Source organism: Homo sapiens, chromosome 20 (assembly GCF_000001405.40).
Source record: "Homo sapiens chromosome 20, GRCh38.p14 Primary Assembly".
Taxonomy (NCBI): Eukaryota; Metazoa; Chordata; class Mammalia; order Primates; family Hominidae; genus Homo; species Homo sapiens.
Window position 1 is genome coordinate 19,706,299 of NC_000020.11, and position 17,218 is coordinate 19,723,516.

The 17,218-nt window shown below is 46.8% G+C and overlaps 1 protein-coding gene across 1 annotated transcript in view, besides 1 other annotated feature; it reads left to right on the forward strand.

Moving 5' to 3' along the window:
- Positions 1–16,628, forward strand: part of SLC24A3 (solute carrier family 24 member 3) — a 510,285-nt gene extending 493,657 nt beyond the window's left edge. The window contains exons 16-17 of the mRNA NM_020689.4: positions 11,230–11,295; positions 14,693–16,628. Of these exons, the coding sequence (NP_065740.2) occupies positions 11,230–11,295; positions 14,693–14,842 (216 nt within the window). The 3' untranslated portion in view covers positions 14,843–16,628. The remainder of the gene's footprint in view (positions 1–11,229; positions 11,296–14,692) is intronic.
- Positions 5,005–5,505: an enhancer, noted in NCBI's record as "H3K4me1 hESC enhancer chr20:19691947-19692447 (GRCh37/hg19 assembly coordinates)". NCBI's record gives its function as "activates a minimal SCP1, AML or CMV promoter by ChIP-STARR-seq in primed H9 embryonic stem cells {active_cell/tissue: H9 hESC(primed)}" and the evidence as "EXISTENCE:reporter gene assay evidence [ECO:0000049][PMID:30033119]".
- Positions 16,629–17,218: the final 590 nt, after the last annotated feature.

Below are 17,218 nucleotides of genomic sequence, written 5' to 3' on the forward strand. Positions count from 1 at the left end.
CTGGACCTACAGCTATGGAAGGAGAGATTTGCACAAGCAATTCCAAAACAAGACGTGATGCCTGCTCTCCTAAGGGCTGCCTATACAGAAGTTTAGGTAGTGTGTGGCAGTGATTGGGGGATCTGGAATGCTGGGGAGGAAATGACAGTTATTCTGAGAATCCAAGATTATCAGGACAAGCAGGTGGAGAGAGGTGAGAAAATTTATTTCCAAACAGAAATAAGAGCTTGTAGAATACCAAGATATGGGAAAACTTGTTGCACTGAAGCACCCAAGGGCTGCTTCTGTGGCTGGGGGGAGTATGGGAGGGGTGAGGAGTTGGGGAACTGAAACAAAGTGGCAGAAATGAAACTAGAGACAGAGAAGCTGCATGGTAAAGGCCATGGTAATGGAAAGAATAAAGGGTACATGAGAAGGAGAGGTACGGTCATGTGTGCCTTTTAGAAAGGACGTTCTGACAATTCCGTAGAGAAAGCACTGGAGCCTGACAAGACTGATGGCAACAAGTTCAGCTACGGGGCATTTGCAGGAGAGAGAGAATAGGGTGATTGGATTAGGATGGTTGTATCTGTTAGCTATGGTTACCCTAATGCTAAGTAACAAAAGGCATGCATCCATTAGCGTATATATCTCAGTCATACCTTTGTGGCTGACAAGTGTGTGGCTGCTCTGGGCTTGGCTGCAGGCTTCATATGAGTCTGCTCCATGTGCCTCTCATTCTCTTTGGACCACTGGCTTCTCAAGACACAGTCTTCTCATGATGTGTCTCAAAGAAGACACATCATGTTTTGCTCTTCTCAAAGCAAGAGCACAAGAAGACGCACCCAGCTTCGGAAACACATTATGGATTCAGGCTCATATCAGGTCAGCTAACACCATTGGCCAAAGAGTATCACACAGCCAAGCCCCAAATCAGGAAGCAGAAAAATGCATCCACCCACCATGAGGCTATGGAAAGTGTGTGGACATAAAACCTATTACAGGGAGAGGAGGTGAGACCAGCAGTTCACTCTGCCTCCACAGTAGCGGTAAAACTGGAGATCAGTGGAAAGCTAAGCAAGAGACTACAGAAAAAAATAACAGGACCTGGCAATTAGTTTAACTTTAGCCCCTAAACAGCTGTTCATGCGGAAGTAAGTCGGGAAAGGCAAGGATTTTGTAAGCTATTGCAAACTTTTCAGGTGTTATTATAACTACGATTGAGGATTTTAGCAAGGCAATGGCATGATTCACTTTACATTTTAAGATTACACTGGATGCTCTTTCTAAATGCATAGGAGGCAAGAGTGGATGAGGGGAGACAGGTCAAGGAGCTGATGACAAAAAGAGATTCTTTTTAAGGAAGAATTAATAAGATTTTCTGACAGTTGTATGGAGAGAATGAGAAGGAGAATAATCATAAGTAACATGTGATTCTTTGCTTGGGCAACTAAGTGTATTGTGATGCCATTCATGGAGATGGGGAGACAAGCTGGGAGATGAGGAACACATTTAAGATGACATACCAAATGTTCCATTTAGGACAAATAAAGTTTGATATGTTTGCGGGTCACCTGAATGGAGATATTAAGTAGGTAGTGGAAATGATAGGTCTGAAGTTCAGAGGCAAGGTCTTGGTTGCAGATATGAATTCGGGAGTCAAGAGCATTAACTGCAAGTAACAACGTAAGAAGGTAAGTGTAGATAGAGGAGAGGGCCTAGAACATGTCGTGATGTTGGATGGGGGAAGAAACAAACATTCACTGAAGGAGACTGAGGAAGGGCCAGCCAGGGACAGGGAGAATCAGAAGAAAGGGGGCCACACAGCCAGAAGAAAGTTACAAGGATGTTGGAGCAGCCAAGTATATCAGACCTTGTCCAAGGTCCTTCTTCTAAGGCCAGCGCTTTCAACCAACCATCACCTCCTCCAAGAAGCCTACCCTCAGCCAAATTTAGTACCTGTATGACAGCATGGGGGTATATTCTATGATGTGTATGCCTCCCCCTTAACTCCCTGAGGGCAGAAACTGTATCTTACTCAACTTGTGCTCCTTAACACCTAGCAGAGGGCTTTCTGTGGAATGAATCAATGAACCCATCAGTTCTTGATGTCTCCCACGTCTTTCATTCTCACCTTGTATGGCAACCATTCCGAATTCAGGCTCCCAGCACCAGGACACTGCTCCCTCTGCTAGAACCAGTCTTCCCTTTTCTGCAAATTCCTTCCCACGCCCCCAGGGACAGTAGGGTGCTGGAGCCAACTCATATAGCCTCCAGAGAAGCTATCATGTGCAGCTCTTCATAGCTTCCTCTGGCGATGCCACGTTGGTAGCTTGAAATCAGCCATGATGGCAGTATTTACACCACGGAAACAGGACCGTGTCAGAAGACCACTGCTAGGGTCTCCTACAAACTATCCCCACAGGACCTAGATAGGTAACTTGGGGATAATGTGGTGATGTCTTAATGAACGAGGCTTCTCAAGGTTATTCAAACAGAGCTCCTGGGAGCAAAAGTATCACCACCCAATCCCCTTGATCTTGACCATTGTGTTTCAGGCTCTATGTTAGGAAAATTAGGTGATGCCTGAGGGAAGGAAGGGTTCTTCCAGATCCTACTGTGGAAGGGCTTACCTGGAAAGCTGAATCAGTCTCTCTGTTCATCACAGTTTAGGTCCCTCAGAAACTATTCATTTCTAAGAGGAGGATCCAGGGTGAAGAGTTTATTGAGGGGGAGCAGTATGAGAGTGGAGAGGAAGAAGGAGGGAAGGCAGCCCACAGCGGCTGTGCTAGCAAGACTATTACCACAGTGGGCAATCAGGGCTGACTCCCATAGTGGGAGCTCTGGGAAACAGAGGACAGCCTCTGTCTCAGAATGACTCCATCCGAGGGGCAAGGGAGCTGGGGGGTTTATTCACCCACTCCTCAGAGTCACTGGTGGAGAACAGCTTCTAGAATTGTTCATTTCTTGGCACTTCTTTGGTTTAGGAGAAAGTCCTAAGGCAACGAGGCAGGAATGGCTGTTGGGAGGCAGCTGGCACCCACCAAAATAGCACCTCAGGGAGATGGGGGGATGTGGGTGAGTACTGCTGGCAGCTGCTGCAGGGGCATCTGTGATTCTTAAAGTTCATTCAGGACTCTTACAAACATGGTAGGCAGACATGGTGAAACCCTGTCCCTACTAAAAACACAAAAATTAGCCGAGCGTGGTGGCACACACCTATAGTCCCAGCTACTCGGGAGGCTGAGGCAGGAGAATCACTTGAACCCAGGAGGTGGAAGTCGCAGTGAACTGAGATCATGCCACTGCACTCCAGCCTGGGTGACACAGCAAGACTCCATCTCAGAAAAAAAAAGTGCTAGGCAGGAAAGGTCCAGATGCACTTCTGAGGGTTCTTAGAGGGTAAAGGGAGGCTTTACCCTGGCTTTCTGCTGTGCCTGGCAGAGTACAACAAAAAGTGAGAATTTAGGGTCCAAAGTCCAACTCTAAATGCAGACCTGACCCCTCACCAGCTTCGTAAACTTGACTAAGTGGTTTAACCTCTCTGAGCCTCAGTTGTCTCATCTTTCAAATGGGGAGAACAAAACCCACTTTGCATATTTCATGAGTGGCCACCAGAACTAAATGCACTATTGTACTAAATGACTAAAGGACTTAGGGATGCAACTGTCATTAAATTGCTTCTTTTCTGTGGGCTGGGTCACTGTCTTACCTCATTTAATTGTTCAAACAAAGAGATTGCCACCCAGTGATATTTTACAATGTAAAGCCACAGCTGGGAACATCCATTTGGAAACTACACCCAAACAAGTGTAAAACTACCCAAATAAGAAAATGTGAAATGACATGCCACATATGTTCCAAGTTAGAAATAAATTAGCAAAAATCCAGGGGCTTCTTATTTTTCCTAAAGGAATTTGTTGGTTGGGTCAAGCTGACCACAAACTAGAGAGAGATTTTAAACTGTAGTATTAGGGAAATCAGAATCTTTTAGGGTGGGGGTGTTGGCTCTCCAAAGGTAATAGGGTTCAAAGAACTGTTTTATGAGCAGCAAGTATGCATGAAACTTGGTATGAATGAGTATCTGTGTCTGCATCCGTACTAAAAAATATACATGCACTGTGGGCTAAATCCCTGTTGACTTTGGAACTAGCCACCCTCCTGTTTCCTCCACAACAACTGCCAAGAGGGAATTAGAGAATGAAAATGCATGCTTCTTAAGGCAAGAAATGAAAACAGCATTAAATGTCAGGACTGAACAATCTGAGATGTGCCTCACATGCTCTCAGATCAGCATTGCCTTGAAGATTTTCTGCATTGGCACTTAATGTTCCTTGCGTCTTTGAGGCAGGGAGGAGGGAGATGATCTAGTTCAACACTGTGCAGGCCTGTCCAAAGGTCATTCACGGATGAGAAGGGTTTGGTGATATCATTTGGCTTAGCATGCCTCAAGAAAGTGTTTTACTGCCTTCAGGGAAAGTTACTGGGATGATGAAAATGTTTTTTATTTTTGTTGAAGTGTGGATTACATGAGTATAGGTATTTGTCAAAACTCATCCAGTAGTAAGAACACTTAAGATCTGTGCATTTTACTCTATGCAAATTATGCCTCAATTAAAAAGCAATTTGGTTCCCTCTTGCTTTGTTACTTGCGGAGATCGGCTTAAAGCCAACCCTCACCATGGCCTGTCTCCCAATCAACTCTCCACTCTTGCCCTTTGCTATGCAGTCTCACTGCCTCCCAGTATGCACATGCAGTCTCACTGCCTCCCAGTATGCACATGCATGCACACATGCAGACACACACAGACAAAGGCACATAAACACATGCACACAGGCAGACACATGCAGGCAAACACACACACACACATCCACACATGCAAACATGCAGGCAAACGTACACACACACGCATCCACACATGCAAACATGCAGGCAAACGCACACACACATGCAGACACACGCAGGCAAATGTGCACACACACATGCACACATGCAAACATATGCATGCAAACACGCACACACATGCACACATACAAACGCACACACATGCATGCACACGTGCAAACATACCACACACATGCATGCACACATGCAAGCAAACGCACACATATCCACACATGCAAACACACAGGCAAATGCACACACACATGCAAACACATGCAGGCAAACGCGTGCACACACACACATGCACAAATGCAAACACATGCAGGCAAATGCACACACGTGCATGCAAACATGCAGGCAAACACACACATGCATGCAAACATGCAAACATGCAGGCAAACGCACACACGTGCATGCTCACATGCAAACACATGCACACAAACACACACACCCATGCTCAGAATCACCAGCAGATGCTTTTTTCTTTTTTTTTTTTCGACAAGAGTTTCACTCTGTCGCCAGGCTGGAGTGCAGTGGCTTGATCTCAGCTCACTGCAACCTCCGCTTCCAAGGTTCAAGCAATTCTCCTGCTTCAGCCTCCCAAGTAGCTGGAACTACAGGTACGCATCGCCATGCCCAGCTAATTTTTGTGTTTTGAGTAGAGACAGGTTTTCACCATGTTGGCCAGGATGGTCTTGATCTCTTGACCTCGTGATCTGCCCGCTTTGGCCTCCCAAAGTGCTAGGGTTACAGGTGTGAGCTACCGCGCCTGGCCGCAGATGCTCATTTTGTTTGTTTGTTTGGGGTAGGGTTTTGCTCTGCCACCCAGGCTGGAGTGCAGTGGTGGGATCACAGCTCACTGTAGCCTCGACCTTCCCAGCTCAAGTGATCCTCCCACCTCACCCTTTCAAGTAGCTGGGACTATAGAGACACTCCAACAGAACTGGCTAATTTTTATTTTTATTTTTTGTAGAGTTGAGGTCTCACTATGTTGCCCAGGCTGGTCTTTAACTCCTAGATTCAGGCAACCCACCTACATCACCTTCCCAAAGTGCTAGAATTGCAGGCATAAGTCACCACGCCTGGCCCAGATGCTCATTTAAACATACAGTATGTGGAGCCAGGGACTGGAGGGGTGAGGGAATTAGGTGCTAGAGTGAGGAAAAACTCACGAGCCAGGCATCTGCCCTCTGAGCATTTGGACCTGCTGTTCTGGTAAGAACATGCCCCAACCCAAGCACAAGCAGGACGACATCAGCACCATAGGGACAATAGTGAACTTGGAAGAGGCAAAAGGACTTATGGCAGGATGGGCAGAGTAGAGGTGGGAAGGAGGTGAGACCCCCACCTAGCTAGACCGAAAGTCTCAAAGAGGGCACAGGAGTGTGCTTAAGGTGCTGACTACAGAGAAGGGGTGCTAGGATATGAGACAGTGACATGAGGTCCTTAGCAGAGCTCCTGGCCCTCCTCGATCTTCATTAATGGCTAGCCTGTCAGGAAGGAGGAGCCCTACAGGCCTCTTTTCATTTTGCTTTTGAATTATAAAAGTAATACACATTAATAGCCCAAAACTGGAAGTGGCCCAGATGTCCATCAACAGGAGCATAATTAAACACACCGTGGCATATTTACACTGCTGTAAAAATAAATGAGCTGTTGATGCAATGAAAACATTGAAGGAGTCTTTAAAAATGATGCGGATATAAAAGAGTACACGCTGCAGGATTCCATTGCTATGAAGCTCTAGGACAGGCTGAACTGCCTTGTGGTAGAGAAACAGGGCAGTGCCTGCCTCAGGCAAGGCTTACAGAAGGGCACCTGAGAACTTTCTGGAATGACAGAAGTGTTCTGAGCCATGGTAGAGTTTGAGTTACATGGGTGTATGCATTTCTCAGAACCTGTTGAATGGTACAATTTTGTGGTGGGAATTTTACCATGTAAAATGGCATCTAAGAATAAAAGACCCATGAATTGTGAATGAACTCTACTTAATGAGATGCAGGCAGGAGTGCTGAGGGGTGAAATGGCCTGGTCTCTGCAGTTTACTTTGAAGTTCCCACAAGCACACGTGGACATGCCCTGCTCTTAAAAAAATAAGATGGTATAATTCTTCCAACTTTCCTGAATGCTTGAAAACTTCCATAGCAGCATGCTGGGTTTAAAAACACTACATAGACTCAAAATAATTTAAGTAAAGTGGGGAAGGGAGAGAGAGTACATTGGGCAGAGACCACATTGCTTCTGGAACATTATCCAGGGAGTGGCATCCGGGGTCTCTCTGCTTCCAACCTCACTCTGACCAGTCCCTGCTGCCCCACAGAACACTGGCCTCCTTATAATGCATATTCCAAATGAGACTTCATGGACATGCCTTATTCATTCATCAGTTACGTTTTAAGCACGTGGTCTGTGCCCAGCCCTCTGCCAGGTGGAGGGTAAAGTCAGACGTGGTTCCTACCCTTGCGGTGTCTGTAATCTAGTAAGCTATTGTTCAGTGATAGGTTTAGAAAAGAAGCAGCCTCGGGTGCAAGGAAGTGGACCCAGCCCCCAATTATTCAGAAGGTATTACACACCAGGCCCTGTTCAACAGTTTTAACGTGGATTAATTCAGTTCAACCTCATAAGCACCAACAAAGCAGGAACTGTATTATCCCCATTTTACACTTTGAAAAACTGAGGCTTAGAGAAGTTCAGTTACCCATCCATGATGATACAGCAAGTGAATGACCAAGAAGAGATTCAAAACCCAGGAAGTTAGCTCTGGAGTCCATGCCTTAAACCAGAGGGTTGCAAACATTTTCTACAAGGGGCCAGAGAGGAAATATTTTAAGCCCTGTGGATCATGCTGTCTCCATCAAAACCACTCAGCTCAGCTGCTGTCGTGTGAAAATAGCCATTGATGATACATAAATGAATGAACTGAGTTCCAATAAAATTTTATTTACAAAGACAGGCTGGAGCCAGATGCCGTGGCTCATGCTTGTAATTCCAGCACTTTGGGAGGCCAATGCTGGAGGATTGCTTGAGGCCAGGAGTTTGAGACCAGCCTGAGCAACATAGCAAGATCCTATCTTTACAAACAACAACAACAAATTAGCTAGGCATAGTGGTGTGTGCCTATAGTCCCAGCTACTTGGGAGGCTAAGGCAGGAGGATCACTTGGGCACAGGAGTTCAAAGCTACAGTGAGCTATGATTTCACCTCTGCACTCCAGCCTGGACAACACAATGAGACCCAGTCTCTAAAAAAAAAAAAAAAAAAAAACAACAAAAAGAGGCAATGGCAATGACTCCTGCCCCAAACCATCCATAGCTGCAGCAGCTGGGAGATGTTTGAGCTGGGCCAGAAGGCAGCTGAAGGAGCCCTCATTCCTGCCTGTCACATCCTGGTGGAAGTACAAGGGTCAGACAGCAAGGAGTAAATACAGGCTTTGAGAGCCCAGGTCTCTAACAATGAAAACACAAAAATACACCCCTGGGTGTGTGTAGTAGTTCATGACCAAAGGAAGGCCATAGAGAAAAAGGTGAGAAGTTAAAAACACAGCAACTCCACAAAAGAGTGAGTTGCCTTTGGCCTCTGGAACCAGATTTAGAATTTCAGCCACACTGTTCTTCGAGATTTCATGTGAACATAGGAAGAGTAAAGTTCAAAAGCTTTGGTTTAACAGGATTCCTTTTGAAAATGTTTGGCCAAAGGGAATTTTCCTGCTAGGAGCTTTGCTGTCACTGGCTCTTGGTTTCTTAAGGGCATGAAATCACTTTACTAAGTTCTTGTTGCTGACAAGGGTTTGACCCTGGAGCTCAGAGGGCAAGCTGTGCTGGAAATGCATTGCCCCTCTTAGAAGATATCTGTATGCGCAGTGCTGAAAGTTAAGAGCTCAAAAGGATTCCTGAGTGTTTATCTACAGTTTCACATCTACCCAAGGGTGACTGAGGATAGCTCCAAGAGCCTCTTCCTCTCTCCTAGGGGTTGCCATCTTGCTCTGAGGAGCCCATCTCTCCCATTCAACATTGACCAGAACACAGGGGATTATCATAGTCAGTGTGGACAGAATATTTGGAGGAAGAAAATCTTCAGTACAACCCATTTGCGATGCAGTCTTGTATGCTGGCCTCTTTATACCAACCCAGCTGATGAAAGTAGGAAAGTCTATCCGCAGTCAGGTTGAGTGTGTGCATGAAGTTAAGCCACCAGCTGGACTGCGACGGGGCCGATCTGCCATTTTTCCACACTGAATTAACCAGGTTAAGCCATTGCTCTAGTGTCACAGAGATATGACTTGAGTCTTCCTTTATTCTCGGGAAGGCATTTGGTGGCAGGGAAGCATGTTCCAGCTGGGGGCCAGCAAATGGTTGACTCACAGGGATTGCAAGTCACGAGAGAAAGAGTCCAGCTCAATCCCTCTGTGACAGGACATCATTAAGTCACATCTTCACAGAAAGGGTTGGCTGTTTAGGGCGTATGGTGTCCCTATTTTCTGTCCTGTCAGAAAATAAACCTGACACACCCACCTATGGAGACTCCTTCCCATATGCACACTCCAGTAGTGAACTGGTGCAGTCATGCCAAGAGGTACCTTAAACCCTGTCAGAAGGGCCCAGAACCACTCCTACTCGATAATTACCACTTAGTTGTCTAACAGAAACAATGCACAAATCAACCAGCCTCACTTTCCCTTCCCAAGAACGTAGAGAAGCTTTTCACTCCCTGCAGGAGAGTGTACATTGGTTGGGGTCTGTAGTCCTCAAACCTGAATGCACACAAGCATTTCCAAGAAAACATGTGAAAAATGAATGTCAAGATCCCTTCCACAGAACCCTTGGAGAACAGAAGTGGATCTGAGCTTTATGCTTTCTCTAAATCAGTGGTTCTTAAACTTTCCTGTGCATCAGAATCACCTGGAGTTAAAGCACAGATTCTTGGGCCCTGCCCCAGGGTTTCTGATTCAGGAGTTCTGGGTGGGGCCTGAGATCCTGCATTTCTAACAAGTTCCCGAGAGCTGCTGCCGCTGCTGGCCCCAAAACCACCCTCTGAGAACCACTGCTCTAAGGAATCTCTTCTATTTTGGGGCAGCCGGCCTCATGACTTTGGTCAAAGGCAGAAGCAGTGTCTTCTCTACATCATGAAAGAAACTATTTGGCCTTTGTCAGCCAAGTCAGCACCCCAGTACTCTCTACCTGCTCTGCTTGATATTATAGCCACAACCACATGTGGCTCTTTAAATGTAAATTTGGTTAAAGATGAGATTAAAACTGTTTCTTTTTTTTTCAGTTGCATGAGACACATTTCAAATGCCCAACAGCCACCTGTACCTAATGGCTACCATGTTGGAGAGCACAGATATAGAACTTTTCCATCACCACAGAAAGTTCTGCTCATCAGTGCTATTCTATAGAAACTCCAAGGCTGGGTGCAGTGTCTCATGCTTGTAATGAGCCACTTTGAGAGCATGTTGGGCTGCTTGTAATGAGCACTTTGGGTGGCCGAGCTGGGAGGATCACTTGCTTCCAGGAGTTCAAGACCAGCCCGGGCAACGTAGTGAGACCTAGTCTCTACAAAAAATCAAAAATCAGCCAGGTGTGATGGTGTGTGCCTGTAGTCCTCAGGAGGCTGAGGTGGGAGGATCACTTGTGGCTGGGAGGTTGAGGCTATAGTGAGCCAAGATCACACCACTGCACCCCAGCCTGGGTAACAGAGTGAAACCCTGTCTCAAAAAAAAAGAAGGAACTCCAAATATGCTTCTCTTTTTCTCTTCATTGGCTGTTATCCCCATTCTGCAAAAAACAAACCTCCAAAAATCCCTTTACTAACATCAGAAATGGAATTTTAACTTTTTCTTCTGTTTTGTTTGCTCACAACAGCAACCCTCCTCCACTTCTTCCCATCAAGTTAGGGGAAGGACAGAGACATTTTGGTGCAAAAGAGATGAAAAGTTTATTCATATTTTTCCATTGCCCATGTCATGAAATTCATCCTAAAAGCAGTACGGGTTTGAGAAAGTAAAAGTTCCCCAGAGGTAAAGGAACACGTGGACAGGGATGTGTTGTGGGCCACAAGAATCTCACAGTCCCAGATAGAGGGTTCAGGTGGCCGTGGGGCACTCCAGCCAGGGGCCTGCTATTGAGGGTAAGGCCAGGATGGGACTGAGAGTGGACAAGACAAAGACAAGCCTTGGGTTTCCAGAACAGCACACGTCTCAAGTATAAGCTGTGGAGCTGGCTGCTGAAGCTGTTGCTTTTTCATTCTAGAGGGGAGATGTGGAATCACTGCTACTCAGAGTTGCGTAGGCAGATGCCTTTTCCAAAGCCTAACTCTGCTTTGGAAGCCTAGCTTGTCAGAAGCCTAACTCTAACCCTCTCTTACAGATCCGGCTGAATAGCAGGGGGCTGATCTACTCCGTAGGCTTGCTCCTGGCCTCTGTTTTTGTCACGGTAGGTTGGCAGCTCTCTCCTCGTACTTGTGTTTGCCTGTTCTTTCCTCCCCTTGGTTTCTTTGGAGACCAGATGAGCTTGGTCTCCTGGTGACTGGGTACAAGCAACCTCCTTGTCCCATCTCCTGGCTCTTTCTTCTAGAAGTGAGTCCTAGCAACCCACTAGAACACCTTCTCCCTTTCTGAAAGAAGCCAGCCTTCCTCTCAAAGGCATGGCCCTATCTTACATAGAAAGCAAACCATTTTCCCAAACACAAAGAGAAGATCCCACTTTGTCTGCAATATGAGTCATGGAAAGGTAGATTCCAATTCATTGATTGTTCCAGGTTCCCATACGAATCCATGAATTTGACTAATACTTGGAAACTAAAAATATATTTTATTGACAGTACATTTTGAGGCCATTCCACTCTCTCAGCCATTACGCCCACTTGCGTACTTTAATATTCCCAACTCAACTGTTGTGTTTGGAACAAGTTCACACCAACGCATGGACTCATCCACATGAAGCATCCATTAACATACAAATATGCTGTTGGCATTAAGCAGCATTGAGACACAATATGTTTTTTCCTTAATTATTCAAGGAAATAGTCATTGAGTTACACCTGGCATGTTGTTAGCATAAATATGCCAGAGAATGGGAATTCAGAAGGACAGGCAGGAAGCAAAATAAGTAGTTTACAGGATCAGGGTGTGAATTGAATGTCAAGATTTCACCAAAGCTAATACTGCCTTATACAAAAGTGCAAATCGACATCATTCATGCTCTTATGGTTTAGGAGGTCCTGCAGTTCTGCTATGACTTGGAGTGGTGATATTTGTAATAGCCACACGCCGTACTTAATGTTTTGTATACATATCTTCCCATTTGGAGCTCATCATGCCCCCCATGAGGTTCACTAAGATCAACCTATTATACAAATGAGCGACTGAGGCCTAGAGGAGCTAATTGACTCCTTTTTATTGACACCAAGTGAATGGAGGAACAAGCATCTGACACCAGGGTGCACAATCATAGCTACGGTGCATCTTTTTAGGCTATGCTATAGTTATACCATCTACAGGAGACCTGGCTAACCACTAACTGGGCTGTCAAAATGAGGTTACCAAAATGCTGAAGAGAGGCAGGTTTGGGGGAGGAAAAGCAATTTTAAACATCTTAAGTTTGCAATGCCTGTTTGACATCCAAAGGAAGAGGTCAAGAAAGCCATTGGAAATATAAGTCTGAGTTCACGAGAAATGTTCAGTCTAGAGACACCATAGTGTAGATGGTATTTAAAGCCCTGCAGTTGGGAGAGATCTCCAAGGGAATGAGTGTACACAAAAGAGAGAAGAGCCCCAAGATCTCAGTGTTGAGGCAGTCTGATGCTTACAGGTCAGGATGATAAGGAAGAAACACCAAAAGAAACAGAGAAGGAACAGTTTGGAGATGCGGGAATAAAACCACGAGAGTGCAGGGTCCTGGAAGCCACCTGCTGGAGGGTTTTCCAGGTGGAGGGAGCTATTGGCTGAGTCAGGGAGAGGAGCCCTGAGCATTGGCCATGGGAGTTAGCAATGCAAAACCATTGGTGCTAATGAGAGGGTAGTGCTGTGGAGTCAAGTGGAATAAGTTAATAGAGAATGAAAGGAGAGAGATTGGAGACCGTGGGCAGACATTCACAACTCTTTCATGTTATCTGACTGTAAAGAAAGGAGAAAAACGGAAATTCAGGAAAAAAAGTGTTATTTTAAGATGAATAAGATAACAGAATCTTTGTATGCCAATTAGAATAATCCAGGGATGGAGTTGGGGCATGTGCTAGAGGAGAGGGAGTTGCTGGAACCAGGTCCTTAAGAAGGGTGGGAGATGGGATCTGGGGCATGCAGGGTGGAGTTGACCTCACTGCCAGGAGAGAAGGCAGGGAGGTGGGGTTGGGAGCTCTGTGCCGTGGGGATAAGTGAGGACGGGGAAGTGAGTGTCGGAGATTGGAAGAAAGGGGAGAGGTGTGAAGTAGCCGTCTGGGGAAGGGAGAGACAAGGGACTAGGGAAGGATGAGATGCCTGCTGAAAAGCATGAATGACCCACTTAATGTCAGTGGTCTCTAATTTAAAATAAGACCCATCCGCATGGCTGACCGATTTCCTCCAACCCTGATGGACAGCTGCGTGGATGCAGCATGAACCAGATTGGGACTTGGCTTGAACTGAAGGGCTATGGCTTAGCCAAGCAAGGACAACCAAGCAAGAGAGAGGCCAGGGAATCAGGGTGGATGCCCCGGAGTGACTCCAGCGAGTGTGGGTGGAATTGAATCAGAGGAAGGAGAGAAGGAAACGGGCAAAGTGGGTGAAGCCTAGAGAAGTGGTGATGGTATCAATGAGGTGTGGGCTATGGGCATTTGCAGAGTTGTGGGAGCTGGGGAATCAGGCGGAGTAAGCTAGAAAGGAAGAGATTTGAGTCAGAAAGTGGGATGAGTGACACTAAGATAAGACAGATGCTTCTGTCACTGCCAATAGCAACATCTAGGCCCCAGTGCCACCCAGCAGACCTTTCTGCAGTGAAATGGCCTACACCTGGGCTGGACAGTACCACTGGCTATGGTTGGCTGTAGCACTTGAAATGTGGAGCTGTGTTTTAATTTTATTTCATTTAAATTTGGGTAGCACATAGGCTGGTGGGTGTGAGTGGCTGAGGCCAGATGAAGGATGAGGACTTGATGGGGCAGGGTGTTGGAAAGACCCTCTCCCCTCTGGAGGCATTGAAATCACAGAGAAAGTCAGCAGGAGTGCAGTGGAGAGTGGCAAGAGCCGGGCGGAAAGCTTCAAGGATAGGCAGTGGCCGGGGTTACATCGTTGGCTGCAACAGGCAGAACCAAGAGGAACTGTGGGAAGAACCGAGATTCCAGGCTCAGTGTTTTTAGGGAGGAGAGAAGGAAAATGGTCTGGAAGCAGCCATGATTTGCTGTGGGGAGGGAGGAACTTCTCACCTCCAGACGCAGCCGTAGGAAGAGATGCAGCCGCCACCGCCTGAGGACTGAGGGGTCAGTGTCCCCAGGGGAGTGGGGGCCTGCTTAAAGCAAGATGGGGAAGGCCCAGAACAGATGAAGGGCCCACAGGGGTGTGGAGTTGGAGCTTCGTGAAAGAGGGTTGGCTGCTGGGATGTGCTTGTGAGTCCTGCCATTTGTTTTAGTTATTTTTCTACAACCAGCAGCTTCTGGCTTCCTTTCTTCCTGATGTTGATGTTCTCACCTCCCACAATCTGAGACGAGAGGTGGATTTTGCAGGCTCAGAGAGGATCAGCACCCTGCCCGAGGCCCATAGTCAGCAGCCCTTCCCCGGGTCCCCTGGGTTCCCCTACCAACCCCCCAAAGGCTGCTGCCTCCTCCTGGTGCCCTCTGAACCTGTTCTGTGCCCTGCAGGTGTTCGGCGTCCACCTGAACAAGTGGCAGCTGGACAAGAAGCTGGGCTGTGGGTGCCTCCTCCTGTATGGTGTGTTCCTGTGCTTCTCCATCATGACTGAGTTCAACGTGTTCACCTTTGTGAACCTGCCCATGTGCGGGGACCACTGAGCCGCCGGGTGCCCACAGAGGCTCAGCTCCTTCTTTTCTGTGCAATACGAGACCCGGCCGCACCCCGAGTCACACAGGCCCCCGGGGCCACGGCGTTCGTCTCTCCTGTGCTGTCCTCAGGCCTCCGCTCCTGTTTTGGTGGCCCAGGCTCTCCCCTGACCCATCCTCGCTCCCCCACCTCCTTGGGTCATGCCCACCCACCCTTTCCTGCCTCCTCCGTGTGAAGACATCCAACATCCACGTGACTTTTCCAGCTCCATTTTTGAACAGTGACTGAGATTCTAGAAAAACTGGCTGCTAACTGGCCTGAGCCAGGCAACACTGATTCCAATCCCTCCTCCTTTTTTAAGTTATTTGATGGAAGACTCACCTAATTTGTGACCTGAGACTGTTGAAGAAATAGAGAGGAGGGGGCCCGTTGATTACAGAGAGCATTTGGGATTTTGTTTGGTTTGGAGATGATGCCTAGGTTACTGGGTTTGGGGGGATTGTTTTCTTTTGGGGGCCTTCCCCTTTTACTCCTTTTCTTCCAGAGATCAAGAGCTTCTCTTGCATCTTCTTCCACTGGGCTCTGGATTAATCAATTACCCAAAGGCTGCACCTGCCGTGTTGTCTGGGCTTGCATCCCAGATGTGTTGGAGTATGCATGGATGTAGTGCTTTTTAGAGGAGCCACTGGGCAAGGCCACCAAGAACAAATGCATGACATTTTATAGCCAAGGACGCCTCGCTAAAGTCTTATGGGCGTCCCCTGGGGTTGGGGGGGCACAAGGTTTTGGAGGAAGAAGACAACTTCCCTCATTCCATCATCACCATCTCTTTCTCACTAGGTTCTTTCTAGTTTTCAAGCAATAGTTCTAGCCTGCCTTGGACAAGGGGGCCCCAGTTAAACAAACTACCCATCCATGAGCTGCCAGGCAGTCAAAAACAGAAGCTTCCCCGACTTGTGAGTCCCTGAGATGTGCTCTTGTTGTTTGGCATTTGGGGTGACAGGGAGTGACCCAGAGGCCACCACTGCTTTTCATGCAGGAGTTACAGACACTGGTTTCTTGGAAAATGGAGAGAAGCGCACTTTGCACAGACGTCGTCAATTAAGTCCCAATTTGCCACTTGGTATTGAGTACACTGGACCCTGACCACTGGCTCTTGGGCAAACGTCCTTCCTCACGGGGCGCCTCCGCCAAGCCGGCCCAGCTGCACCCCTCCCTTCCTGGAGGGATGGCCAGGGAAGGAGAAAACAGAGAACTGACACCTTTGAAACCACAGAATGTGTTACATGCAGACTCGCTCAAGGGCATAAGTTATTGTGAACGTTTTTGCCAATCACTGCTCAACAGCCCTGCTAGATTTTGTATGATGCTGAATTATTATGCAGACTAATTCCACCCAGTTGAGACACACCATGCTTGTTCACTTGTATTTATTGAAACTGTGGATTCTTGCCCGTGCTGTCCCTTGTATTTACTTTAAGCACTGATCACTTATCATTCATTCGGTATGGTTTTCCCTGTCCCTTGTACACATTCTGGTATGAATTTGTAAAAATAACCTGCTACAAATTGGTTGAATGTTTCTGTCTGTGGTGCGAACCAGCATTAACGGATGGGGCACGTGCCCAACTGAGGAACAGGAGAAGAAATCACCAATTTGGGCTCTCAGAGCTAAGACACACTTATTGATTCTGTTGCACATTTTGCACTGGTTTATGGCGATTGTTTTCTTGGACGGATAGTGTAAAATAAACTTCTCTGTTCTCTATCCTTCCCAGAGCAGAGTGCATTACTTTCTCCCCTGGAAAGCTGTGCATTTTTCATTGAGGAGAATGTATGGGAGGTAAAATGATTGTAGTCACTATGTGGCCAGGCATTTGCCACCTGCTGTTTCTGCGTTGCCTCACCTGGAAAGCTGGCGTACGTGTGGCAGATTACGAGAATGAAGTGGCCAGCTGTGGGTCCCCTCTAAATCTTGAAGGGACTTTAGGCCTATCATCCTGTCACAGAATTCCAGAACTCTACCCGTCCTAGAATACATTAGTTAAGAATTCATTCTTTCCATTGAACATGAGAGAAGGAGCATCACAGTACTGATGATGACATTCTGGAGTGGCCAAGTTCTCCATTCTGTCTGATTTTAGTAGTTCTTAATCGTGAAAATTAAGATTTCCCCAAAGCTGATTCCTTAAAAGTGACAATAACATAGTTGTAATAAGCCATGATCTGATTCTAGGTGATGCTCAAGAAATAACTACCCACATCTAAATTAGTAAACACAGAGAGCTAGGCTTCCACCAGAAATGCAGCATAATTCATTTATAAGAGGCAGAAGAAAAATAGCCACTAATCCACAGCACCAACTTTATTTAACTGTTGAAAAATAT